Source organism: Homo sapiens, chromosome 16 (genome assembly GCF_000001405.40).
Source record: "Homo sapiens chromosome 16, GRCh38.p14 Primary Assembly".
Taxonomy (NCBI): Eukaryota; Metazoa; Chordata; class Mammalia; order Primates; family Hominidae; genus Homo; species Homo sapiens.
The window spans coordinates 19,283,969-19,311,546 of record NC_000016.10 but is presented as its reverse complement, the minus strand read 5'-3'; the positions used below and the strand labels follow the sequence as shown (position 1 = coordinate 19,311,546).

Below are 27,578 nucleotides of genomic sequence, written 5' to 3'. Positions count from 1 at the left end.
GAAGCGGCACAATTTACCAAATGCCAATTGATTTTTTTGTGTGCATTTTAATCTCTCTGTGCTTCCTTGTTGGTACTGGAGGGCCCAGATTTTCAGGTTCCCCCCAACCCCAGTCCATACCAAAGCAGAAACAAGGCTCACAGAATTGGAAATGGAACTGAGGCCTCCTGCCTCTCTGTCCAATGTTCTTTCTGCTAATAAATATCTATTGCTTTTCCTGCCCGGCATGCATTCTTTCTTCTGGTAACATTTTTAAAAATTGAGGTAAACGTCATGTAATGGGCCAGGCATAGTGGCTCACGCCTGTAGTCCTAGCACTTTGCGAGGCTGAGGCAGGCAGATCACTTGAGCTCAGGAGTTTGACACCAGCTTGGGCAACATGGGGAAACCCTGTCTCTATGAAAAAAAAAAAAAAAAAAAAAAACCTAGTTGGGAGAGGTGGTGCGCTCTTGTAGTCCCAGCTACTTGGGAGGCTGAGGCAGGAGGATCACTTGAGCTTGAGAGGTCGAGGCTGCAGTGATAGGTGATTGCATCACTGCACTCTAGACTGGGCAACAGAGTGAGACCCTGTCTCCAAAAAATAAAAATAAAAATTCATATAATGTAAAATTTATCATTTTAACTATTATTTTAAAATGTACAGTTCAGTGGCTTCTTGTACATTTACAATATTGTGCAGCCATTACCACTATCTAATTGCAGATAATTTTTGTCACCTCACAAAGTAATCCCATACCTATTAGCACTCACTTTCTATTCCCCCTCCACACATCCCCTGGCAACCACTAATCCACTTTCCATCTCTATAGACTTGCCTATTCTGGATATTTCATATATATGGAATCATACAACATGTGGTCTTTTGTGACTGGAAGCATAATGTTTTTCAGGTTCATTCAGGTTGTAGTATCTATCGTTACTTCATTCCTTTTTATGCTTGAATAATATTCCACCCTATGAATAGACCACATTTGTTTAGTCATTCATCTGTTGGTGAGCACTTGGGTTGTCTTCATTTTTTTTGTGGTTTTTATCAATAATGCTGCTGTGATCACATTTTTTTGTTTTTGTTTTTTGAGACAGGGTCTTGCTCTGTCACCCAGGCTGGAGTGCAGAAGCACAATCATGGTCCATTGCAGCCTTGATATCCTGGGCTCAAGTGATCCTCCCATCTCAGCCTCCCAAACAGCTGGGACTACAGATGTGCATCACCATGCTTGGCTAATTAAAAAATTTTTCTTATGGAGATGGGGTCTTACTATGTTGCCCAGGCTGATCTTCAACTCCTGGGCTCAAGTGATCCTCTCTCCTCAGCTTCCCAAAGTGCTGGGATTACAGGCATGAGCCACTACACCTGGCCGACCACTTATATTTAAATACCTGTTTCCGATTCTCTTAGGTCGAGATCTAGGAGTGGAATTGCTGGCTTAGATGTAATTCTATGTTTAACTTTTTGAGGAACTGCCAAACTTTTCCACAGTGGCTTCACTATTTTACATTCCCACCAGCAATTTATGAGTTTGGTAATCTTTTTGTTTTCCTTTGAAGAACCAGCCTCATCTTTGAGCCCATGTGTTGACGGGAATATTTAAGATGTATTCTTGGCTAGGCGCAGTGGCTCATGCCTGTAATCCCAGTACTTTGGGAGGCTGAGGTGGGTGGATCCCTTGAGCCCAGGAGTTCGAAACCAGCTTGGATGACATGATGAAACCTCGTCTCTATTTAAAAAAAAAAATACAAAAGTTAGCTAGATGTGGTGGCATGCGCCTGTAGCGTCCTGTAGTCCCACCTACTCTGGGGACTGGAGGTGGAAGGATCACCTGAGCCCAGGAGGTTGAGGCTGCAGTGAGCTGTGATTGCATCATTGCACTTCAGCCTGGGCAACAGAGTGAGACTCTGTCTCAAAAAAAAAAATTACTCTCGTAGCAAATTTCAGGAATACAATACATTATTATTAACTATAGTCATCACGCTGTACATTAAGCCTCCCAAACTTATTAATCTTATTTCCAAAAGTTTGTATGCTTTGACCAACACCCCCCCGCATTTTCCCCCACTCCCAGCGCCTCTGATAATGTGACTTCCACCCCATTTTGTCCAAAGATGTACAGCTAAGCAGGAGCTAGCCACTTAGCATATGCCAAAGTGATTGCTTCAGGGATGGGCACGTGACCCGAGCCAGGCCAGTGAGATTCAACTCTGAATCAGAACAACCCCTGGATTTTTGTTACTTGGGTCAATTTAAAAAAAAAAACACTTTAAAAAATTAAGCCAATTTGAGCTGGCTTTCCTGACACTTGGCCAAGTGACCACCCTGTATAATTAAGATCTGCTTGTTTAAAATCTCTGTCCAAGAGATTTACTTCCTATGTATGTTTTACATGTATTCAATGTCAATTCTACACTGGTTACAGCTACAAGATGATACTAGAGTTGAGCTCACACCAGTAGGACAAGACAGGATCAATGAATGGTCAGAGATGGGATTTTGCAGACAAAGGGGAACTTCCGGCTGCAGGTGTTATCATTCCATGACCTCAGAGCTGTGATGGAAAGAAGCAGAGAATCTGGGTGAAAATCCATCCGCCAAGATAAAAGTAACCCCACCACTCCTCTGAAGTAAAAGCCATCTCCAATAGGCCTTGTGTCTATGCTGGCAGCCCTTTCTTGCTGATACTTGACAAGCCTGCTGTCCAGCCTTACTCTTGCATAAAGCTGATTCTGGCTTGTCACCTTGGATGGGAGGATGAACTTCAGCCAGAGGCTTGGCCCAACTCTGGCTACCCAGGGCTCCAGGAGGGCTCCCAGGAAAATAAGCTGTTCTCTACCTCCCTCCCCTAATTAGGAAAAGAAAAAAGAGCAAAGAGGGAATAACAATTAAGTGTCTGGGTCTGGAGTTCTGTAGATCTAGATTTGAAACCCAGCTCCACTACTTAGCTTGCTGTGTGACCTTGAACAAGTTGCTGAACTTCTCTGAGCCTCGTTTTCCTCATCAGCAAAGTGGGAATATTGTTTCTATTTCTTAACATTGGTGTGAAAGTGATGATTCATGATGATGCTGGTGATTGCTAATACTGAATACTGAGCATGGCAGCTATTCTATGAGCACTATCTTCTTTTTTTATTCACATTAACCTGTGAGTTAAGTATCATTAGCCACATTTTGAAGACAAAGAATCTGAGGCACCAAGAGGTTAAGGCATTCTCTTTGGGCTACACATTAAGGATGGAGCGGGGGTTCACACAAGGGCAGTCAACTCCCGAGTCCATGCTCTTGCCACGGTGCTATATCAACTGTGCCTCCTTTAATCCTCACAGCAGTCTTGTAGGTAGGACAAATTATTAAGCCCATTTTATAGAAGAAGAAACAGAATCTCAGAGAGGATAAGTAATTCTCTGCAATGACACAGAACTAGAAAGAAACAGGGCCAGAATTTGAATTCAAGTCTATACTCTTCTCACTACCCACACCCTCATGCCACCACACATGTGGCTTGCTTCAGGAGCATGAGTCTGTGGAAGGGGCTTGCACTTTGATGTGTTGTTGAGTTGACATGGAAGCATCACCCCTTGACTACTCTCTATACAAGTCTTTATTCCCCCCATGCTTCTATTTATAACATCTTTTCATTCAAGTTGGAGTTTATGTGTCAACCAAACCCCATTTAATGTTGTTTAAAGCATATCCATTGTGGCGAATGGCCATGCCCCCGACACCCTAGTGACCTCCACCGCTCTCCAAGGTGCTGAACAATTTGCCAGTCTCAGGCCATCAGGTGCTCCTCTTCCCCCAAGGCCCTTCTCCGCTCTCCCCACCTGTGACACCTCCTGGGCTCCCCTGCAAGAGCCTTGGTCTCAGGGGTACCCACCACTGGTAGGCCTGTACCATATCTGCACGCAGTCCTCTTCTTCTGGGTCCGCGTGGACGCCATCATCTGGCTGGCTGCCATCCCAGTAGCTGTAGTCATAGGATGAGCCATCAGTCCATTCAAACTGCCCTTCCTGGGAGGGTTCCACCCAAAGAGACAAAGAAGCAAGCCAAGAAGAAGATCAGGCATTTGAGCCAGGCAGCTCCAGCTCAGACGTCTTAGCAACTTAATTTCTAACACCTCTGCACAGATGTCTTCATTGAGGCTACTGCTATCTGGCACTACTGCTACCAATCTGACTGCTATTATTACTACTATTACTAGCTGCCATTTGTTGAGGGCTTATTATGTGCCATGCCAGGAACTTTACTCATTTTATCCTCACCATTCTGAAAAGCAGGCGTCATCAGCCCCATTTTACAGATAAGAAAACTGAGACTCAGATTGGTCTACCCAAATTCACACAGCAAATAAAGCATTAGTGCTGGGAATCAAACCCAGGTCTATCTGAGTCAAGTACCCAAGACCCCTAACTACTACACTTTGCCAGTGGATGGGAGTCACTTTCCATCTGTTTTCTTTTTGTCTAAATAGTCCGTGTTTTTCTTGCCTAAGGTGGAACTACTCTGTCCAATTGCAAGGAAAGTCCTGTTGGGAATTTGATTGGTGTTGCAATAAATGTGCAAATTAACTGTGGAAAAAACTACATCTTTACAACTTGTCCAGGAACAGGAGCCATTTCTCCATTTATTTAAGTTTTAAGAAAAGTACCCCCAAAGCACTGATAATTATGGAGCCTACGTCATGTAATGGGAATAGCATGCTACTTCTGAGAGAGAGACTAGAGCTTGAGGTCCCATGTTCACCCACTGCCTAGCTCTGCAACCTGGGCAAGTTACTTAACCTCTCTGAGCCCCAGTTTCCACATCTGTGTGGTGGAGTTAATGTGTCCTTTAGAGAGTTGTTGTGAGGGTTGAAAAAATTAAAGCATGTGAAGGACTTAGTACAATGCCTGACACATGGTGCCCAGCTCTGAAAAGAAGAAAAGGCATTTTCTTGTATTTATTATTATTATTATTATTAGGTCTTTCAATACAAGTTTCTTTAACTCTGATTTAATGTAATTATAATCCAATTTTAGAGTTGCTATTATAAATGGACATTTTAGTGTTTTTAAAATTATAACTTCTCTATGTGTTCTTGCCAGTTGAAGTCTATTGATTTAAAAAATCACCAGGCATGGTGGCTCATGCCTGTAATCCCAGCACTTTGTGAGGCTGAGGTGGGAGGATCACTTGGAGCCAGAAGTTAGAGACAATCCTGGGCAACATAGTGGGACCCTGTCTCTACCAAAAAATTAAAAAACAATCCAGGTGTGGTGGTGCCTGCCTATAGTACTAGCTACTATGGAGCCTAGGTTGGGAGGATTGCTTGAACCCAGGAGTTCAAGGTTGCGGTGAGCTGTGATTGCACCACTGCTCTCCAGCCTGAGCAACAGAGCAAGACCCTGTCTCAAGGAAAAAAAAAAAAAAATAGGCCGGGCGAGGTGGCTCAAGCCTGTAATCCCAAAACTTTGGGAGGCTGAGGCGGGCGGATCACGAGGTCAGGACATCAAGACCATCCTGGCTAACATGGTGAAACCCAGTCTCTACTAAAACTACAAAAAATTAGCCGGGCATGGTGGCGGCTTCCTGTAATCCCAGCTACTTGGGAGGCTGAGGCGGGAGAATGGCATGAACCCAGGAGGTGGAGGTTGCAGCGAGCCAAGATTGCGCCACTGCACTCCAGCCTGGGCGACAGAGCGAGATTCCATCTCAAAAACAAACAAACAAAAAAAAAACAGCAAAAAAACCCAAAAAAACTCAGGTCTGACTACACTGTTACTTCTGCTACTTTAAGAGCAATATTCATCATCCTTAATGAGTTCCTATAATATGCTAAGCACCACGCTAAGCTCTTTACATGCATTAGCTCACTTATTTTTCTTTTCACAAGGCACTGTTATTTTCATCCCCATTTTACAGACACAAAAACTGAGGCTCAGAGAGGTTTTTTAAATTTGCACAAAGTCACCTGCCAGCCAGTAAGTGGCAGAAAAGGAGCTGGCACTGGAACCTTATTCCCTATAGTGCCCTGAGCAAGGCAAGAAGCATACACGCAAAATAGAGACTCAGTATGTGGTTTGCCCAGGAAAAATTTGAGGACAAAAATCTCCAGGTGGAGTTTGCTGTGACATTGCAGAGATCTGGTCCAAGCTATCCTCTTCAGCCTTATTATACACCCACCCCTACCCCACTCTGCGCTCTAATCACAATGGTCTTCCTTAATTAACTTCCTTGAATGTGCCAGGACCTCCTCTTCCTTAGGATGTTGACCCATGCTGTTCCCTCTACCTGGAATATGCTGTCTCTGGCTAACTCCTATTTACCCATTAGACACTAACTTAAATATCTCTTACTAAGGAGGGCTGTGGCAGCCACAGAAGTACATTACCCAGATCGCCTTCAGGAGGACCAGAAGAAAGCAGAGTTGATGATGGACAGCCCCAGGTCTCCTGCCGCCTTGGATTCACTGCCTTGTCTGTGATAAGCACATGCCTCTGCCTCTTTGGAGCTGCCACTGCATTCACAGTGAGACAATGCTTCCTCCAGGCTGTTCCTAGCCAGTGACTCAGCATGTCAGGGGTAATGGTGCTGGTGCAGGATTCTGCCCAGTGCAGGATTCCAGTCTTGGGCATCTTTCCTTGGGGACTCCCCATTGGCCTAGCCAAGACTTTCTCAGCACTGTGCTGTGATCTGAGGCTCTCCCTACCCAGTCCTTCCTCTCTGATCTTCTTTCACGTGTCTTAGACCCTTGGTGTTGTCTGGAGTCCTTCCCTGCCTACTTATGCCTCCTTCCTCTTTTTTGTTCACAAATATTTCCCCTCCAACATCTCTTGCACATCTAATCATGTTTTAGTGTCTTCTTTTTTTTTTTCAAGTTGGAGTCTTGCTCTGTCACCCAGGCTGGAGTGCAGTGGCATGATCTCCACTCACTGCAACCTCTGCCTCCCGGGTTCAAGCAATTCTCCTGCCTCAGCCTCCTGAGTAGCTAGGATTACAGGAGCCCACAACAGCGCCCAGCTAATTTTTGTATTTTTAGTAGAGACGAGGTTTCACCATGCTGGCCAGGCTGGTCTTGAACTCCTGACCTCGTGATCCACCAGCCTCAGCCTCCCAAAGTGCTGGGATTACAGGCATGAGCCTCCACACCCGGCCTAGTGTCTTTTTTTTTTTTTTTTTAAGAGAACCCAAGCCAAACAGGTTTTCTCTGACCATGCTATCTGTTCCCATCATTTAGTAGGACATCATTAAATGTCTTTCACAAATTGGTCATGCTGTAACTGTGACATCTTGGTGTCTGATTTCTCTCTATATGCTGTGTGCATAGCCGTGACCTGGCACTGATGTGAAAAGCTTATTAAATCAAAATAGAATCCTGGCTGGAGCTTCCAAGGGGGCCCAATGGCCACTGCTTTCTCACCTGTCTGTGATCATGAAGGCCTGTCCAGACGTCAGCTGGGATGCCGGGAACACAGCTGTTCACGAGGTCATATACAAAGACATTCTCCTCCCAGCTGCGAATTTAAGAATAATAGTAGCTGATTCCTCATGGCCTCTTTTCATAGGATGGAGTCAAAAATTGAAAGCAATCCATATTTACCTTCCTGGACCAAAGTAAATAGAGGATATGATCCAATTCGGCCTCCATTTTTCATTAAGTCACCCATATGTGGCCGGTCCTACATGGGCATCTCTGGATTTGACCTATGCCAGTTCAAAGAAGGACTCAGTACTGCTACTCATCCCTAAAAATTTAAATCCATCTCAAAAACACTAGCAAATGAGGTGGATTATATTGAAGATATGATGAAGAGACAATGAAAGGAGTTTACATTGCATTGCATACATCACATAAATAAATGAAAATTTCCACTAGTCATTTCTGTTCTCTCTCAGAGACCCTCCTTAAACTGCCCATTTATAATATATCCCCTTCTCTCCTAGTCTTTTTTCACATACCATCTCCAAAATCTCTGTTTTCCTGGGAAACTCAGCTCTAGGCTTCAACTTGCATTGCCCACTTAGCAAAACGAAGTCCCTCAGTTAACAGCCCACCATCCTTAGAAGTCATGGGTGTCTTTTGGGGGGATTCTTATCCTCTATTTCAAAGAGCTTATCAAATAATTCACCCAACAAAAGGAATCAGTGGAGGACCCTGGTGAGAGTCCACTCCCAAAAACAACAAAGAAGTAGAGATGGATGGATAGATTGATGAATGAATGGATGGATGAATGGATAGACAAATGGATGAATGGGTAGGTGGATAGGTGGTTGAATGGGTGGATGAATGAATACATGGATGGATAGATGAATAGATAGACTGATAAACAGAGAGGTAGAGAAATGAACACAATTATTTTCATCCTATCATTAAAATGTTTCTTGAGCACTGACTTCATGCCAGGTACTGTGCTGAGTGTCTTAAGTGCATGAACTCATTTCGTTCTCACAACAACCAGGCACTGGGGCAGATACTACTGGTTGTCTATCCCATAGCCATTCCTAATCCCTTACCCCATTGCCTTCATTATGACCCAGAAAAGCCAAATTTTATTTTCCCAGCTCCCTTTGCAGCTAACATTGGCCATATGACCAAGCATGGCCAGTTAGATTTAAGGCAATGTTTGTGGGGACATCTTGGAAATATTTTTCTCCATGATGAAAGGAGGGAGGTATGTGGAGAAGACCCAAGTTTCTAGCACTGCCCTTTCTCCTTAGGTTGTAGCCATGTCTGGACGCAAAACTTGGAACTGCTGCATTGAAGACGCTGAAGGAAAGCCAAAACAACTGCTCATCCAGGGCCCATATCAACGAGCCTGAAACAGGTTGTTTGTAGAGGTTAGAAGAATGGGCAAGGGATGTGACAGCAAATGGACAAATGGTGGGCACACCTCACTCAAATCATTCACAGGCCCAGATGACAGATCCCACTGAAAAAAATGATTCCCACTATTGGCTTCCACATGGCACTAAAAGGCGAACTTTAGTATGTCAAAGAAATCAATACAGAATGATAATAATCAGCCATAGACCTAATACTTCGCTTCAAAACATGGCCATGTCGATGTACCTTTTGTGTTGCAACAACATGTATCTGCTCCCATCAGCTTCAATAATTCACTTCAAAACAGGGCTATGTTGAGGTACCCTTTATGTTGCAATAAGGTGTATCTGCTCCCATCAGCTTCTTCCAAATGACTGCTCTATGAAGGCTGCCACCTTATCTAAAATACCCACCATTAGAAGATTTCTTTTTTCTTGAGGCATTAGTAGTAAATCCAAGCACTCATAGTCACTCTCCTTAGTTTTGTGTTAGTGAAGTGGAATTGATTGCCAATCAATTCCAGATTAGAAGCACTTAGAATTCTGGCACTCAGAATTTGTCTTAACACAGTGCTCCAGCCAGTCACTGCAGAGAGTTACTTAACATACACTCTTGGAGGAAAGGAAAGAGGAAAAAGAGGAAGGAAAGTGGAAGAGTGAGACAAGCCTTGCTCACTCTCAGAAAGATGAACTGATATGGAACGTTAAAAAACACTGGCCTCCTTGAGGCAGAATTATAGTTTATTATAACTAATAATAATAATAACTCCTACTGCTGGGCATGGAGTTATCCAAGTGCTGTGTAAGAACTTTAGAGGCATGATCACTTTTAATGCCTCACAAGTTTAAAAGATCAGTGTGAGGCCGGGCGCGGTGGCTCATGCCTATAATCCCAGCACTTTAGGAGGCCGAGGGAGGCAGATCACGAGGTCAAGAGATTGAGACCATCCTGGCCAATATGGTGAAACTCCGTCTCTGCTAAAAATACAAAAAAAAAAAAAAAAAAAAAAAAAAAACCAAAAAAACCTGGGCATGGTGTCATGCGCCTGTAGTCCCAGCTACTCAGGAGGCTGAGGCAGGGGAATCACTTGAACCCAGGAGGCGGAGGTTGCAGTGAGCCGAGATCACGCCACTGCACTCCAGCCTGGCAACAGGGCAAAACTCTGTCTAAATAAATAAATAAATAAAGATCAGTGTGATTATTGCTATCTCCAAGTTGAGAATTCTTGGCTTAGAGTTTAAGTGATTTGGTCAAGATTGTGCAGGTAGGAAGTGATGGAGCTGGGACTACAGTCTAGAACTACCTGACTCTGATGCCCTTAATCAATGCTCATACTGTCCCCCACAGTTTTCTTCATTTTGAACATCTGCTGCCCTCATTCCCTACGCTTCCCAATCTTTCAAGATCCTGATCCAGGACCAGTACTTCCAGGAAAGCTTCCATGACTATTTTCTATCCAATCCTTGACAGCTTGTAGCCCAAAGTTCCTGTTCTCCCAGGGGCTGGCTGGTTAGTTTGGTTCTCCATGTTCAGGGTCCTTCTGATGCAACTGAGGTTGCAAGTACAATGAGGGCTGTCTAGAGAAAAGCCTTGATTTGGAATCACTTTTGCATTTGCTTTTTATTGAATATATCTCATTTTCCTCTACAGGCTAGGAATTCTTTGAGAATTGATGTCTTCTGTCTTTACAAGTGCCAATCCTGTACTGTGCTGTGCTCTCATAGCAGATTTGATCCCTGAAGAATGCCTTTCATAGGGCTCCATGTTAGCTGGCTTTCAGTTAATGGGAGGCACTTATGAGTCTTTGGTGGATGGGTAGGAGGGAGAAACCAGAGTATTTCTTTCCCCCTCGGCTTGGGAGTCTCTGGCAGGGGCTGCCTCTCCTCCATGGCTCCAACTCCCATAGGACTGGCCTGTCCTCCAACTCAGGCATGGAATTGGCTTTCTGCTCCTATGTATCTCTAGTTTGCCTCACTACTCCATTTTCAGTTCTGAGCTTCCATCACTTTCCTATATTATCTGTTTTAGACACCTGTAGTGGTTCTTGTTTTCCTGGTTGGACCCTGACTGTCTCAATATATCCCTCAGCCCCACTGAAAATACACTGGTTGTTCAATACATCTGTTGGAGGAAGAGATGAGTGGATTCAAGATGCATTTGGAAACTAAGATAAAATACTCCTTCTCTATTTTTTTTTTTTTTTTGAGATAGGATCTCGCTCTGTCACCTAGACTGGAGTGCAGTGGCCTGAACATGGCTCACTGCAGCCTCAACCTCTCGGGCTCAAGTGATCCTCCCACCTTAGCCTACCGAGTAGCTGGGACTACAGGTGTGCATCACCACGTCAGGCTAATTTTTTGTTTTTTGTAGCAATGGGGTCTTGCTGTGTTGCCTGTGCAGGTCTTGAACTTCTGGACTCAAGCAATCCTCCCATCTTAGCCTCCCATAGGGTTGGGATTACAGGCATGAGACACTGCACCCGACCCCTTTCTTTTTTTTATTATTTATTTATTTATTTATTTATTTTTGAGACAGAATCTCACTCTATCACCCAGGCTGGAGTATAGTGGCATGATCTCAGCTCAATGCAACTTCTGCCCCCTGGGTTCAAGCGATTCTCCTACCCCAGCCTCCCGAGTAGCTGGGATTACAGGTGCCCTCCACTGCACCTGGCTAATTTTTGTATTTTTAGTAGAGATGGGGTTTCGCCATGTTAGCCAGGCTGGTCTCGAACTCCTGACCTCAGGTGATCTGCCTGCCTCGGCCTCCCAAAGTGTTGGGATTACAGGCGTGAGCCAACACACCTGGCCCCCTTTCCTTATTCTTAACAAAAGTCAGCGGCTCTACACATAAAAAACCAACCCCCTTTCTAAAGTAGTTTCTGAGATTCTTGAAGAACAGAGATAAGATTGTGATTTGTAGCTTGGGTGCCAATGGAACACATCACACCTGGCCTGAGAAAACTCACAAATCAGCAGGGAAGTCAGATGCAAAAAAGGTAGCAAAGCTGTGATAAAGGGAGTGTGCCAGGAGAGCTGGGTAATGAGTGTAATTAGGGGGTCAGAAGTAACTTCAGTGAAGAGATGTTGTCAGAGCTGTCTTGAAGATTGAGGAGGTATTTACCTGGAGGAGAAGATAGGGATGGAATTCCCAGCAGGGGGAATATAATGCCCAAGAGTATGGAGAAGTAAAAGAGCTGGACCAAATTGGAGAACTCTGAGATGGTCATTGTAGCTGGGGCTTCGGAGACAGAGGAATGTGGAAGGAGGCCTTGGAGGGTGGGCTATGGAATCTGAATCCACGCTTTCAAAACTGGTTTCTCCCACTTAAGAGTGGTGTCATGTGAGCAAGTTACTTACCTTTTCAGAGCCTCACCTTCCTAATCTGTAAAATGAAGATACCTATGTAATATGGTTTGAGGGAGTTTTAATGTCATGATGTACATGAAACGTGCAGCAAATAAGTATCAGTTATGATTTCTCATATTCTTTACATCATATTCTTTATATATGTAGTGTATCAGTTGTATCACAGGATACAGAGCAGAGGACAGCACAAGACTGGCACTTATAAAGGTGGATCTTCTGGCATGCTATTTGCTACCCCTGCTGAATGCTTTGCCTTCTATAGCCAAGGATGGTTTCAATGAGAAATTGGGTTGGATAAAAAGTAGCTTCAATTGGCCAGGCACTTGGCTTATGCCTATAATCCCAGTACTTTGGGAGTCTAAGGGGGAGAATCACTTGAGCTCAGGAGTTCAAGAGTGGCCTGGGCAACATAGCAAGACTCCATCTCCATTTTTTTCAAATAGTTTCAATTACCAAAGAGAAATGCCAGTTGGAAATACCATTCTCCACCCCATTTCCCAAGGGGGTGCTTAGTTGAACTATGGGGCACTGGGGATCCCACTTACCTGTGGATGGAGGCCAGCTTGGCGGACTTCCTGCCCACAGAGAACTCAGAACAGTAGAGGTCGGCCTCAGCCCAGGTCTTATTGAGAGGGAAGAATCGATAGCAGTGGCCTTTGAACTCCATCCAGAACAGGGGGCACAGGGAAGGCAGGGGCAGCTCTGGCAGGGCTGGGGGCAGAAAGGAAACAGACTGGGAGGAAGGTTGGCAGTGCTGACATTGTTTCCATAGCTTAGAACCTATTTTCTTTTCTTTACAATCTTTTAATTTTTTTTAAGAGACAGGGTCTCGTTCTGTTGCCCAGGCTGAAGTGCAGTGGTTTGATCATAGCTCATTGCAGCCTCCAACTCTCAGCTCAAGTGATACTCCCACCTCAGCCTCCTGAGTAGCTGGGACCACAGGTGTGCACCACCATGCTTGCCTACATTTTTTGATTTTTGTTTTGTTTTGTTTTTGTAGAGACGAGGTCTTACCATGTTGACCAGGCTGGTCTTGAACTCCAGGGCTCAAGTGATCCTCCTGCTTCAGCCTCCCAAAGTGCTGGGATTGCAGGCGTGAGCCACCGAGCCCTGCCTGTACATACTTTTTTTTTTTTTTTTGAGATTGAGTTTTTGCTCATGTTGCCCAGGCTGGAGTGCCATGGTGCCATCTCGGCTCACCGCAACCTCCGCCTCCTGGGTTCAAGCGATTCTCCTGCCTCAGCCTGCCAAGTAGCTGGGATAACAGGCACGTGCCCGGTTAATTTTGTATTTTTAGTAGAGACGGGGTTTCTCCATGTTGGTCAGGCTGCTCTCAAAGTCTCGACCTCAGGTGATCCGCCCGCCTCGGCCTCCCAAAATGCTAGGATTACAGAAGACGTGAGCCACCGCACCCGGCCACCTGTACATACTTTTAAGAATGAAAGTAAAGTATGTCCCATTATGATCTATGCAATTCTATGCTTGAGGTCCAAAAAACATATACATACCTACGTTTTACTAAATTATAAAAATAATATGTGCACATCATAGAACACCTGGAAAATGTTAATGCTTTGATACATTTTTTTCTCATGTCACATTTGTATGCAGTGATGTTTTAATGTAATGTGATTATATGGTACTCTACATACCAGTCGATATTCTGACTTCTAAAAATTAAAGAGTATAAGCATTTCCCCCATGTCATTATACATTTTTGTAAACATTGTTTTAAATAGCTCTTGAATCCTCTACTGAGTGGCTCTCCTAGAGTTTATTTAATCATTCTCTTATTTTTAGATAATTAGATAGTTTCTCTGTTTTTTCAACTATTACAAATAATTCTGAGATGAGCAGTTTTGTGCATAAAGCTTTTTTGGCATTTCTGCTGATTTTCTGAGGAGAGATTTTTAAGGCTTTAATACAATTTGCTAAATTGTCTCCTGAAAGCAATTTATCCTCCCATGGTAACGTCTGAGAGTGCCCATCTCACTTTGCCCTTGCCAGAGCTCAGTGTTATCACTTTCATGGCAATCTGCAAATTTTATAAGCAAAAAAAGGGTATCTTGTTTCAATTTGCAATGCTGGACTATCTGGCAAGACTGCACATTTTCCCACATGTTTATTGCCAAGCTATAGCCAAGACTATTTATATCTTTGCCCATCGAACTCCTGGAGTTCAGGATTTGTTCTTAATTCTAAAAAGAAACAAATTTTTAAAAACCCCATGTTTGAGACAGTAAAGTTCTCTCAAGTCTCAGCCCCTCTGAAAGCTTCTTAAGAGATACTTTTTTTGGAAACCACGACTCAGGATGACTGGCGAGAGGAGACAGGCAGGCTGAGAACCTTTCTCATACTAGGTTGGATGGCTTATCCATGAAGACAGCCAGTGGGCAGGGGTGGAATCTGTTAGACTGGGGTTGAGAGCCTGGGTCCTACCCCCAGCTCTGTATCTGACCTGCCGTGAGATGCTGGCTCATTCTTTCCCATCTTGACCTTCAAACTAGATGATCATTGGGGTCCCTTTTGTAGCCATCCACTCAGGGGTGGGTGAAGGTCACCCTTTAGTGGAATCTTTGCCTTCAAGCCACTATAGTGGTTGGCTGAACTCATGAAGTAATAAAGTAGTGAACAGCATTCATTGAGCATTTGTTATAGTTTCCCTGTATGCCAAGGAAATATAGGGAAACTGAGGCTAAGGCAGGTTGAGTAACTCGCCCAAGATCATCCTGTAGGTAAGTGGCATAGTAAGGATTTGAACCTAGGCTTCCCAACTCCCAAGTTTTTGCTCATAAAGTTGGCATGATGCTTCATGATGGGAAATTAGCGGGTCTAAGAATAGTTCACAGTCTTTATAGCACCTGCTTCATGGAGTTACTGGGTCAACTGATTGGGCCAAATAAAGTCACCAAGTACTTGGGATATATGGATTGTGTAATGTACGGCTATTAATGATTAGCTCAGGGTTTTATAACCAAAACTATGGGCTGCAGGGATCCAGTGAATTTCCCAAAATCAAATGTAAAATAAAAAGTGTGTGTGCACCTCTGTGCATTTCTCTGGGGAAAGAAAGGGACAGTTGCTTTCATCAAGATAGCTGTGCTAGGCAGGCAGTTTCCAGGCCATGCTTCTCAGGGCTGGTCAGTACCACTGGGCTTTCCCCTTTGACCAGAACAGCCTGTCCCCAACCCCAGCGGCTGTGCTGACCAGGGGTACCTCCCCATCCCTCCTGATCAATCCTGGCCAACTCTCTTTCAATGCATGCCAGTATCCAAACTGGAGCCTGTTGGTTCAGAATTGGCTTTCTTAATCCTCTTCTATATGTCAAAAGGAAGGAGCTCTGCTGGGGGAGGTAAGTGGGCACAGCACCTTGGCCTGTCCCCACCCTTTTCTGGGACTCAGGTCCCTCCTTTCTTGATGGAGAGCATTGGTCTAGGAGGACATCATCTTGATGCGTTAAAGCGTCAATGGCCAAGAGAGTTGATGGACCCTTTGTAACGCTGGGTGTTGCTGAGCTCTTTGTAGGGACTTTTGAGCACTGCCTACAACACAAAAAGGCTCTACTGAATCGCTGCTTGGGACGACTTTTTCAGCAGTTTCTCCCTTAGCATGGATGAGAAGCAGCAAATCATTTCTACCAGCAAATCATTTCTACCTTCTTTCCACTCAGTAACCAAGGACACTCATCCATGAGAACTTGGCTAAGTTTGTCCAGGAGTGACTGGGATGACTCAGTTTTTGCTGGTGATAAACCACTTTTCTCACTCCCACGTGTCCTAAAATTACTTGGCACCCTACATACTCATATTAGAGATGAAAGTAGGGTGACCAAGCCATCCCAGTGTGACCAGGACCATCCCAGTTTTAAAATCAAGAGTCCTGGCTGGGTGTGGTGGCTCACGCCTGTAATACCAACACCTTGGGAGGCTGAGGTGGGTGGACTGCTTGAGTCCAGGAGTTCAAGACTAGACTGGGCAACATGGTAAAACCCCATCTCTATAAAAAATACAAAAATTAGCCGAGAGTGGTGGAGTGTGCCTGTAGTCCTAGCTACTCTGAGGTGGGAGGATCGATTGAGTATGGAAGATCGAAATTGCAATGAGCCATGATCACGCCACTGCACTCCATCCAGCCTGGACGATAGAGCAAGACCCTGACTCAAAACAACAACAACAACAACAAAACCCTGAGAGTCCCACATCCTGGGCACTCCTACAGTTCCCAGCGAACTGAAATTGGTTGATCACTCTCAAGCAGTGAGGGGGAATTTTATCGCCGCCCCTTGCCAGGAGACATTGGACAATGTCTGGAGACATTTTTGGTTATCACCACTGGAAGTGGTGGTGCTAATGGCATCTAATGGGTAGAGGCCAGGAATGCTGCTAAACATCCTATATTGAACAACTCCCCACAACAAAGAATCATCCGACCCGAAATGTCAGTAGTGCCAGGACTGAGAAACCCTGCCCCAGATGGAAGGCAGGACTCCAAAAATGTAAAATAACCCCACAGCACAGCAACACAAAACATCACAGCAAACATTCACATTTCTTAGCCTGTTCCTATTTTCTTGAACAAAAATTAAGACACAGCCCCCGCAACTAATGAGAAGTATAGTGTGGGCTATTTCTCTAATTTTAGAGTTAAAATGTATTACTAATCCTAGCCCATGGCTTAAAAGCACTGAAGACATTGCTTTAACATTGTGTTTAAATTTAACGACATGGACCTCACTAAAGAAGTCTGCAGAAGGGAAGTCTAGCACTTTCTCCCCTGAGTTTAGAATGAGGTAAACTTCTTTGTCATCTTTCTCTGACTGTAGGAGGATGTTTTTCCCCTGGTTTCCTTTCCACTGAAGATGAAACTCTTCATGAGTTTCTGCACTAAGAAAGGGTTCAAGTTTCAATTCCCTGCTTCAGATAGCTCTGACTTCCCCTCCTACCCCACGTGGGTGTTAAAACCCCAGTCCAAGCATTACGAAGGCTGATGCCCTACTTAGGGCTCTGGAGCAATATGCTTGCTTTGCTCTCTATCTCTATCTTGGTTTCTGGCCCCTGGGCACCCCCCCTCACTTCCTTAGAAGTCCAGTCTAACTTGAGCAGGATGTTTGCAGATGTTCATGTGACCTTTCTGCACGGCGGTAGTGGGAAGAGCTTGTAGTCTCAAATTCACCATATTGTGTAATCTGGACGTCTCTGCTCTCTTTGTCTTCTACCTCTTTTTTTTTTTAAATAAACTTTTTATTTTGGAATAAATTTAGACTTACAGAAAAGTTGTCAGAGAGTACAACGATGGTTACCAGAAGCCAGGAAGGGTAGTTAGTGGGGAAGACAGGGGAAAAGTGGGGGTGGTTAATGGGTACAAAAATATGGTTAGACAGAATGAATAAGATCTAGTATTTGATACCACAACAGGGTGACTACAGTCAACAATACTTTATTGTACATTTAACAAAAACTAAAAGAATATAATTGGAGTGTTTGTAACACAAAGAAATGATAAATGCTTGAGGTGATGGACACCTCATTTACCTTGATGTGATTATTACACACTGTATGCCTGTATCAAAATATCTCATGTACCCCATAAATATATACACCTACTATAGCCCATAAAAATTAAAAATTAGGCTGGTCGCAGCGGCTCACACCTGTAATCTCAACACTTTGGGAGGCCAAGGTGGGAAAATCGCTTGAGCCCAGGAGTTTGAGATCAGCCTGGGCAACATAGTGAGACCCTGTCTCTTACCAAAAATTAGCCAGGAGTGGTGGCATGTGCTTGTAGTCCCAGCTACTTGGGAGGCTGAGGTGGGAGGATCTCTTGAAACCAAGAGGTCAAGACTTCAGTGAGCTGGGATTGCAGCACTGCACTCCAGCCTGGGTGACAGAGCAAGACCCTGTCTCAAAAACAAAAAAAAAAAATTAAAAAAATTAAAAAGTACCAAAGATAGTGTGTGGAGAGAGTTCCTGTATACCGTTCACCCAGTTTCCCCTGATGTTAACATATTAAAAAGCTAAGAAATGAACATGGCTACAACATGATTACCTAAACTCCAGACGTTACTCAGTGTTTTCCTTTTTTGTGCTCAGATCCAACTTAGGATGTCTGTTACATTGACTCTACCTGCATGTTTTATTTGACATAAACTACTCTCTCTAGTATTGGCTGGGATCAGATAAAATTGACAAGAATTGGCTGGAACTGCTCAGAATTTCTTAGCATTGTTGGATAATTTGCCAAAAATAATCTCTTTTTTCCCCTCTTTACAACCAATCAATTTTCAAGTCATGTCTATTCCATCTCCTAAACACGTCTCTAATTCAGTCTGTTCTTTCTTCCCCTTCTGCATTCTTTTTGACCTTCTCCCATGAAGACCTTCTCAACACCTTTTAGCTGTTCTTCCTGCTTTGTCTCACCTCCCAGGTCCAGAGGCATTCTTCCTCCTTGGAACAGCCTGACCTCATTTCCCTGAAACCTCACAGGTGTTCCCTTTGCCTTTGGGAACTGCTTGCCCCTAGCTTATTCTCTGTCATTCACCCCCTCCTTACTCTGTGCTCCAGGTTTGCCCACACTTTTGCCATTTCTCAAAGACATGTTCTGACCTTTGCAGATAATTCCCTTGACCTGACTTCAGCCAATTCTGTTTCTCCTTTGAGTCTCTGCTGCAGTGACTTATTCAGGGAAGATGAGGTAGGAGCCTCTGATAAATGCTTTTAGAGCCCCTTGCACCTCAACATTCACACATTCCTCCTCTATCCCCATCAGCATCTGTTGTGATCATTCCTCTTCCTCTGGTGCCTTGGCACGTAGTAGGTGCACAATGACTGGGCTTGAATGCATAAATACATGTAGGGAATCAAACACCACTTCTTGAGGGCAGCCTCTTGGGAAAATGGTGAGAAGGCTGTGTGCATAACTCATGCCTTTGAAACCAGGAGTCCTGACACTGCGATGGCATTCCTGGAGTTTTTTTAACCAAGTCCTGAAAGCAGAGGTTGCCAGATCCTGGTTTTGCATATTGTTTAGGACAACGATTGCTACGAAGGCCAACCTCAGCATCCCCTGGGACCTTCAGACTCCCAGGCCCCACCCCAGGCCTTCCAAATCGGAGTCTGCATTTTCATAAGAGCCCCAGGTGATTCTTGTGAATGTGAAAATCTGGGAAGCCCTGGTCTACAGTGTGCCAGACTGAAAGATGGAGCCTGTAGAATTACTGATTCATTCATTCATTCATTTTCTCACTGAACAGAGCCTGGCAAAGAGGAATTAATAATTAATTAAATGAAAGGGGCTGAGTGGAGTGAGAAGGGGAAAAGGGTCCTTGGTCTTAAAGACTGTGGATATTTCAAAAAGAACCCCTGCCTCCAACCCTGTCTGCTCCTCCCAGAGTGGAAAACAAGTTCCTTGAGCCATTTACACCCCACCTCCCCATTCTGGTCCTTTAGGTTTTCTCCACTGAGTAATTTGGTGGTTATGGATGCCAGGGGTGAAACACACCAGAAAATGGGGCTGTGACAGGTCACTGCTCAATTACTCCCCTTTCCAACAGGGCAGGCAAAGGCCTTTAATTGTGAGGACCTGGGAGGTGGAAAAGAGCGCTGGCTTGCACCAAAACGATCATTAACTCCAGCCTGCACGGCATTTCCCCCTCCTCCTTTACCTCTTGGGTTTAAGGAATTGGGAATAGTAGGCCTTTCATCAGCCTGACCCCAAGCCAGCCTCTGCTAATCTGTCTCTTGTGAAGGGATTTCTTTAGCTTTATAGCTTGACAGTCAGGTAACCATGGCAACACAACAATCAGCGCCAACTCTGACTCAGCATTCACTGTGTGCCAGGCATTGTGTTAAATGCTTGATACAGAAAAATACACTCAATCTTCACACATCCTACCAGGTAGGTGCCACTATCACCCCCACTTCACAGATGAAGAAACCAGAGCACAGAAAGGTTGGCCAACTTGCCCAAGATCGCACAGCTCCCAGCTGGGATTTGAAGCCAGCCTGTCTAGCTCCAAACCTAGAGAGTCCTACTGCATTTAAGCCCATTTCCTTTTGCTCCAATCTTGATGGTCTGGTCCTTCATTAATTCCTTTATCCATTCAACAAGTACTATTTGAGCACCTACTTGGTCTCAGGCAGTAGGTTACAAGCTGAAGATACTGTGTGGTATACTACACAGATGCGCCTTCTGACCTCATGAGCCTTATGGTCTATGAAGACCAAACCTAAGAAAAATAAGCACAGGCCAGGTGCAGTGGCTCATGCCTGTAATCCCAGACTTTGGGAGGCAAAGGCAGGAGGATCGTTTGAGGCCAGGAGTTTGAGACCAGCCTGGGCAGTATAGCAAGATTCCACCTTTACAAAAACACTTTTTGTAAATCAGCCATATGTGGTGGCACATGCCTGTAGTCCCAGCTACTCAAGAGACTGAAGAGGGAGCATCACTTGAGCCCAGAAGTTCCAGGCTGCAGCAAGCTATGACCATACCACTGTACTCCAGCCTGGGCAACAGAGCAAGACCTTGTCTCTAAAAAAAAGAAAGAAAGAAAAAGAAAAAGGAGCAAAAATAAAGATGTCATTAGCATGTAATTTGTGGATGTGTATCATGCCAGCAAAAACTTCAGGGAGCAGCCCCCTCGATTATTTTAGAAACTGGCTGTTTGCCCCTTTCTCTCCCTAGTTGAATTGGTGGCTGCCCTGTCCCCATCTTCAAGGATCCCATAGGTGATTATGACACGGCGTCATGAGTTCCCTTCCTGGATGGGGGAAAAGAGGGTGTTGCCACAGGAACACCTAAAAGTGGAACATAACCCAGACCTGGAGATCTGGGAGGCTTCTTAGAGGAGGTGCTGTCTCAACTGAGACCCGGAGGATGAACAAGAGTTAGAGAAAGAGTGTTCCGGGGGGAGGACACAGTGTGTGCAGAGGTCTGGAGGTGTGAGAGAGAATGGAGCTTTGGAGAATTAGAAATGGTTTAGCATGGCCGGGAACTTGAGAAGGAGAAGAGGGAAGAGATGAGACTGGTGGTGGGGGAGGGGAAGTGGAGGGAGAGAGGCAGAGGGGAGGGGATGCACAAAGGGGCTGTTGCTCTGGAAACCAGGAGGCCAAACCACATGGTCTTTTCCTTCAATTAGCAACATCAGAGGCCCCCAAGGTCTCCCAGCTGGGGTGGGGGGTCAAAGCCTTTGGGAGTTCTGAGCTTGTTAGGAAAAGAAAACACATCAGTGGAACTCAGGGCTCCCCCCCACCCCCACTCTTTTTAAAGGAATAAATTGTCACCTTCCTACTGAATCTGGCTGCTGGCTCCCCTGGCCCCAATCCAGCCGCCCACAAATGCACTACCCTGCTGCCTCCTGCCCAGATCAGTCTTGGGACCCAGCCAGGAGGGGAGGCGGAGAGGCTCAGGGGCCACATTTGTCCACCCAGTCCCCATACTAGGCCCCAGACACTCCCAGCGGGCTGGAAGAAAGTGTCTCACAGACTCCAGGAAGGTGGCTGCTGCGTTCTGAGGACTCAGTCACCCTCAGTGCCCTCCTGCTGTCCTACGGGTTCTACCACCTCCTTCACAGTGAGCCCTGGCTCTGGGAAGCGGAACTGGTGGCACCAGGTCTCTCCTATCTAAGCTTTGCTGCCCCTTCTGTGAGCCACTCCTGAGGCCACATGAAACACAGAAAAAAGCATTAGACAATTTCTTATATTGCTAATAATAGCAGCCATTCATTGGGTGTTTAGTATGTGACTCCTTGAGATCAGCCTAGGAGGGAGTATCCGTATCATCCCCATTTTACAGATGAGGAGACTAAGGCTCAGAGAGGGTAAGTCACTTACTGTCTTGGCTCAAAAGTGGCAGAGCAATGATTGAGACTCTATTGAGACTTGAGTCTGACAGATTCAGAAACTCCTGAACAGACTAGCGCCTCTAAAAGATATCTTCTTTCTGGTCTTAGTTTTCTCATTTGTGAAATAAATCTATTAAACACCAAATGTAACAATTAAGCAAATAAGTCGATGTTTCCTGGGTGCCTATTTGGCTTGAGGTCTGTGTCCTTAGGTTGCTCTCAGTCTGGAAGGAGGAACATGCACATGGCAGAGTCATCGCATACTAAGTATTCTAGAAGTATGTACAAAGTGCTTGCTCTGTGACCATAGAGGAGGAGGGGGAACTGGATAGAATGTCCAAGGGACACTTTAGGATCCGGGCTGCTCTAGGAGGTAGGAACACCGTTGCCTATGTCTCTATGCTCCAACTTCAGAGCTTGGACTCTGGAGTCAGATGGTCCTAGTGGGAAACTCAGCTCTTTGTGCCTCAGTTTTCTAATCTGTACAATGGGCATGATCATAGTGCCTACTTCACAGAAAAGCCAGTTCCAGCTCAGAGGTAGAGACTCTAGTAAGTATTAGATATTATTACAGTAGAAACAGTCTGGGTCACAGAACCTTCCCAGAGCTGAGAGTGCAATGCCAGGCTCTTGGATGGGTGAGGAAGAGGCTACATAACCTGACTTATTCCCCTTCTACGCTTCTGAAGCCCTGCAGAAGCAGATCCTGAGCTTCAAAACACTTTGCTATAAATTTCCTTTGCTATAGAGAGTTCTTGGGCTCAGGAGTCAGGGAAAGGAAACTTTTTGATGGTCGAAGAAGAATAATAAATGTTTACGTAGCTCTTACTGGGTGCCAGACACTGTTCTGAGGACTTTACATTCATTAATCCACTTAAACAATGAGATCAAAGGCAGATTCAGAGAAAAGGTTTTGGGAAAAGGATTTAGTCTGTCTAAATCCTCCCAAGTCTCTAAGAGATGTCTAAAAAGTTTTTTTTCCTCCAAAACATAGGGGGTGGCTGAGTTGTGCTATTTGCGTATATTTGCATATGCAAGGGGTGGGTGATGAAAGGTCTGGAGTAGTGGGATGAATGACCCATGACCTGTGCCCTGTTATGCATTGTACCTAAAGGCTGGGGGTCCACAGAAGAAGATGAAAAACCAAGCCTATTCTCAATAAGGAGGACCTTGGAGGTACATGTATTCTCATGGTCGGCCGGGGCCCACAGAGACCCCTAAATCCTCCCTACAACATACCAACACACACGCTCCTGCCCATATGCACCCATAAACTCACACACATTCCCTCTGTGTTGAAATCACTTTCCTCTAGAGAATCTATCTGCATAGGCTGAAACTGGGCTTCCTGTAGGGCTGGGAGCCTGGGAAGCAGTTGAACTGCCACTTGGACAGTGATGACCATGGTTGGCTCAATTGGCCTCTGTAGCCTCAGTTTCCATAGCCTTAATATGGAAAGGTTGGGCTGAGTGGATCTTTAAGACCCATCCTTCCATTTCCAAACTGCGAGCTCTCCCAGGTAGCTGAGATTGACACAATCTCAGTCCCCTTATCTATAGAGTAGGGATGAGGCTTGGGGACTGATGTTCAGAAGTTCCTTTCAATGTTGAAGACTTTTGTCAGAATAGAAAACTGTCTCCTGGCCAATTCTAGTATAACATCAACAACCACAGTGGCAAACATAGTAATGGCAATAACTCATTTTTTAAATGCTTCCTATGTGCTAAGCACTTCACCTGCACGAGCTCATTGAAGATCTCCAAAACCCTTGATAAGGACCCTTGTTATCCCCACTTGGGGCTCAGAGAGGTGAGGAAACTTGAGTCTCAGAGAGGTCCCATGGGCACAAGCTAGTGAAGGACAGAAAATACCCCTAGTTACTCCCGCTTTCAAACTCAGTCTTGGCCCCTTCCCACTTTTGCTGGGCAGAAAGGCAAGATCTTGGGATATACGAGGCGCAGTCTGCAAGGATATTTTGTTCAACTTCTTTCCTACTTGCTTATTGTATTGGTGAGGAAACTGAGGTCCGAGAGTAAGGAGGCAAGTCACTGCTATGAATGGAATGTCTGTGTCTCTCCTCTTCCCTGCCCCCAATTCATATGTTAAAGCTCTGACTCCCAATGTGATGGTATTGGGAGGGGGGACCTTTGGGAAGTGATTAGATTTAGATGGGATCCCATCCTTATGATGGGATTAGTGTGCTTATAAGAGGAAGAGACCAGAGCTTTCTCTTACTCTGCCATGTGAGGGTACAGTGAGAAGGCGGCCATCTGCAAGCCAGGAAGAGAGTCCTCACCAGGAATAAAATCTGCTGGCATCCTGATCTTGAACTTCCCAGCCTCCAGAACTGTGAGAAATAAATGTTTGTTGCTTAAGCTCCCCAGTCTGTGATATTCGCAGCCTGAGCTGATGAATACACTCAGAGAGTTTAGGACAGAACTGAAACCCCTTGCCCAAATGAGCTAAGACTATCCCTTATTGTTACCACTAGGGATGCTAGATTAACAAAAAAAAAAAAAAAAAAGAAGGATACCTAGTTAAATTTGATTTCAGGTAAACAAACAGATAATTTTTAGTATAAATACGTCCCATGTAATATTTGGGGCATGCTTACACTAAGAAATAATTTATTAATATTTATTTATTGGTATTTTATCTGACAACCCTATCAACCCTCTGTTTAAAGTCACTCTAACACTATCACAACCCAATAATTTGGCCTTATGAGAATCTCCATCTAGGTATTTCATTATTAGTTTTACTTGAACGGGGATTTAAAAATGATATCTCTGCCACTGCTATGATAAATAAATCCATATATGAACATAAACAAGCCTGGAAAGAACCTGGTAGAGGTGACAGTCAAGACTCTTGGCCACCAAATTATAGGATTCAGAACTCTTCTCATCCAGATGAGGGTCCCCCAGAATCAGTAACCCAGCCTTCCTATTGCAAAGTGGAAGAAGTTGAGCTCATTTGAAGACCCTCACCCTCCATATGGGACACTGGGAGGCCACATGCCCAAGGCTGACAGGTTCTCATCCCTGGGGATGCCCCACAAGGCTGGGGGTTGCTGGGCCAGGCCTCCAGGGAGGCCATTAGAGGGACAAGTCTCCCTCCCTGCGCACCTAACCTCTGGTGGCACTGCAGCAGCTCTGAAAGCTCCCTGGGAAGGCTGTCACAGCCAAGGTGGGGTTGGGGCCCAGATGCCAAATCCCTCACAAAACTACCATGTTCAGATCTTCCTGTAGTGCCAGACACTGTGCAAAGCACTTTCCTCATGTTATCTTATCTGCCTTGCACAGTAGCCCAAAGAGAATGCCATTGCGACCCAACTTTCTAGAAGAAGCTGAGGCTCAGAGAGATCAAGAAACTTCCTCTATGTCACACAGCTTGTAAACTGCAAAACTGGGATTCAAACCCAGGACTTTTTGTGTCTGGGCCTAGAAGAGTGCCCATGACAAAGCTGGTAGGGGGAAAGCTGTCAGGAGACTCGGGTCAGGCCACCCCAACCCCCCAACAGAAGCTGCCAGGCCTCACCGATAGAATAAGTTCCTGAGAGTGTACTCCTCTCCACCTGCTCCCAGCCCTGGTCCCTGCACTTACCTGGACTGATACTGATGTCTGTTTGTGGAAAGGCCTGTGCAGAGTGGAGGGTCAGGAAGGCTGCAGCCCACAGTGTCCACCTTTGCATCCTGAGCTCCTAGAAAGCAACCTCCCAGCCTGAGTGGAGGAGAGAGGCTTTTTGGCTGGAGCTTGGGTCCAGGATTGCTCTCCTAGGGTCAGATGGAGCCTGGCAGGAGCTGGGACAGACTGGATGGACTCCAGTCCCCTCCTCTTTTCTTCCTTTTCTCCTCCCTCCTCTTCACACTGTTGGAGACAGCTCAGAATGACAGCTGAAAGCAAAGCAGCCTAGGCCAGCCCCCCTCAAAGAACCAAGAGACATTTTAGCTCCCAAGCTTGCCTCTGAACCAAGACAAAATTTAGCTCTCAGTCTTGTCTCTGAGTCACGCTGTGGCCTTGGGTGTGCACTTCTCTGAGACTCAGTTTCCCCCTCTGTAAAATGGGATGGTAACGAAACTCACATTCCAGCCTGTCACAGGAGACAAAGCATCTCACCTCCCTCAGAGTAGATATGTACTGGAAGGTAAAATTACTGCAAGTAAGCATTGAGCGCAGAGGTCTCCTGGGCCATGGATGTCATTTGTTTGGTCTGCAGAGTTTTAAATTCTAAAAAATTTGTTAAGGTATAAAACCAAGAGATGCTAGGTATAAGTCCGGATTTCTGCCTTCTATTGGAAAATCGGAAGACCTAACGAAACATAGCCCTCATTTCTACAGGGCAACAATTGCATGGAGCTGAGAAAGAGCATCTCTTTCAGCCAGGCTCTTTGAGCTTCGGTTCACCAAGGTCTCCACCCCATGGGTCTGATCCTGACAGCATCCACCGCTGAGGAAGCACCAGGAAGCCTGTGTGAGTCAGCCTCCTTTCCTCTCCCTTCACCTCTCAGGGTCTCTCAGGGTTCCTCCGGGGGTTAAAGGAGGCATCTGTAGAAGATTCAACAGAGTGTTGCACAGAATAAGTGCTCCACAAAGAGGTGCAAGTGTCATCACTAGTGCATAGCTCTACTGTGTGGCTTGCTCAGAATTCAATGTTTAAAAACCCCTAGTGTTTTCATTGGGATCTCATCGCTCTTTTGGAGAATCAATATTTCTAAAAACCACAGTCTTTCTCCCCCACTTTCTGTGTCCTTAGACAAGTCACTTTGCCTCTCTGAACCTCAGTTGCCTCCTCTGTAAAATGGGGGATAAGTAGAGTACCTACCTCACAAGGATTAAATGAAGTAATTTGTTTCTAAAACTTGGCATAGATGCTGGCAAGTAGTAGGTGCTCAATAAATGACAGCAACATTTGCTATTGTTGTCATTGATCTAGTGCAAGGCTTTCCTTGGCATCACCCACATCCCCTGCCCCTGCACTCCCTTATTCCTCTCCAGAAATGCTCTGCCAGGTGCCCTGACACCTCATGTGGCTGGCACTCACAGGGACTGGAATGTGTCTGTTTGGCTTCCAAGTCTTTCTGGAACACCTGCTGCTGTGCTTGTGAGAAATAACTTAACTTGTGCCCACACAGCTTGCCTTGCCTGCTGGCACTGGAGCTGAAAGTCTGCCAAGGTCTGACTCAGAATATGAGCACAGCTCAGGCTCAGCTTCAACCTACAGGATGCCTCCTCGGGTAGATCTGTTGCCTCAAAACTAGTGTACTGGTGCATATCCCAGAGCATGCACACTTACTTATTTATAAATGGGATATATTTATTACATGTTTATAAGTGATGTGCAGGTACGACTCACTGTACTAATATATTATTTCTGTTATAAAACACACACACCCACATTGGACATTATTAAAGGTTGATAAAAGATATAAATGTGGAAGAAAGTTTGGATATTTTCTCCCTACTCCCTATCATCTTGCAAGCTGAAATTTGGGGGCTCCTGCTGTCATGTTCCTGGGTGCTGCTTGGAATTTAAAAGTGTCTATCTTAGTCTGTTTTGTGCTGCTATACTAGAAC

The 27,578-nt window shown here is 45.1% G+C and overlaps 1 protein-coding gene across 1 annotated transcript; it reads right to left on the bottom strand.

Moving 5' to 3' along the window:
* Positions 1 to 599: 599 nt before the first annotated feature.
* Positions 600 to 25,816, bottom strand: CLEC19A (C-type lectin domain containing 19A). The gene is made up of 5 exons (NM_001256720.2): positions 25,608 to 25,816; positions 12,709 to 12,874; positions 7,392 to 7,485; positions 3,870 to 4,002; positions 600 to 2,543 (listed from the first exon to the last, which is right to left on the bottom strand). The coding sequence occupies exons 1-5, from the start codon at positions 25,693 to 25,695 to the stop codon at positions 2,464 to 2,466; spliced, it is 561 nt and encodes a 186-aa protein (NP_001243649.1). The 5' UTR covers positions 25,696 to 25,816; the 3' UTR covers positions 600 to 2,463.
* Between the last annotated feature and the right edge of the window lie 1,762 nt (positions 25,817 to 27,578).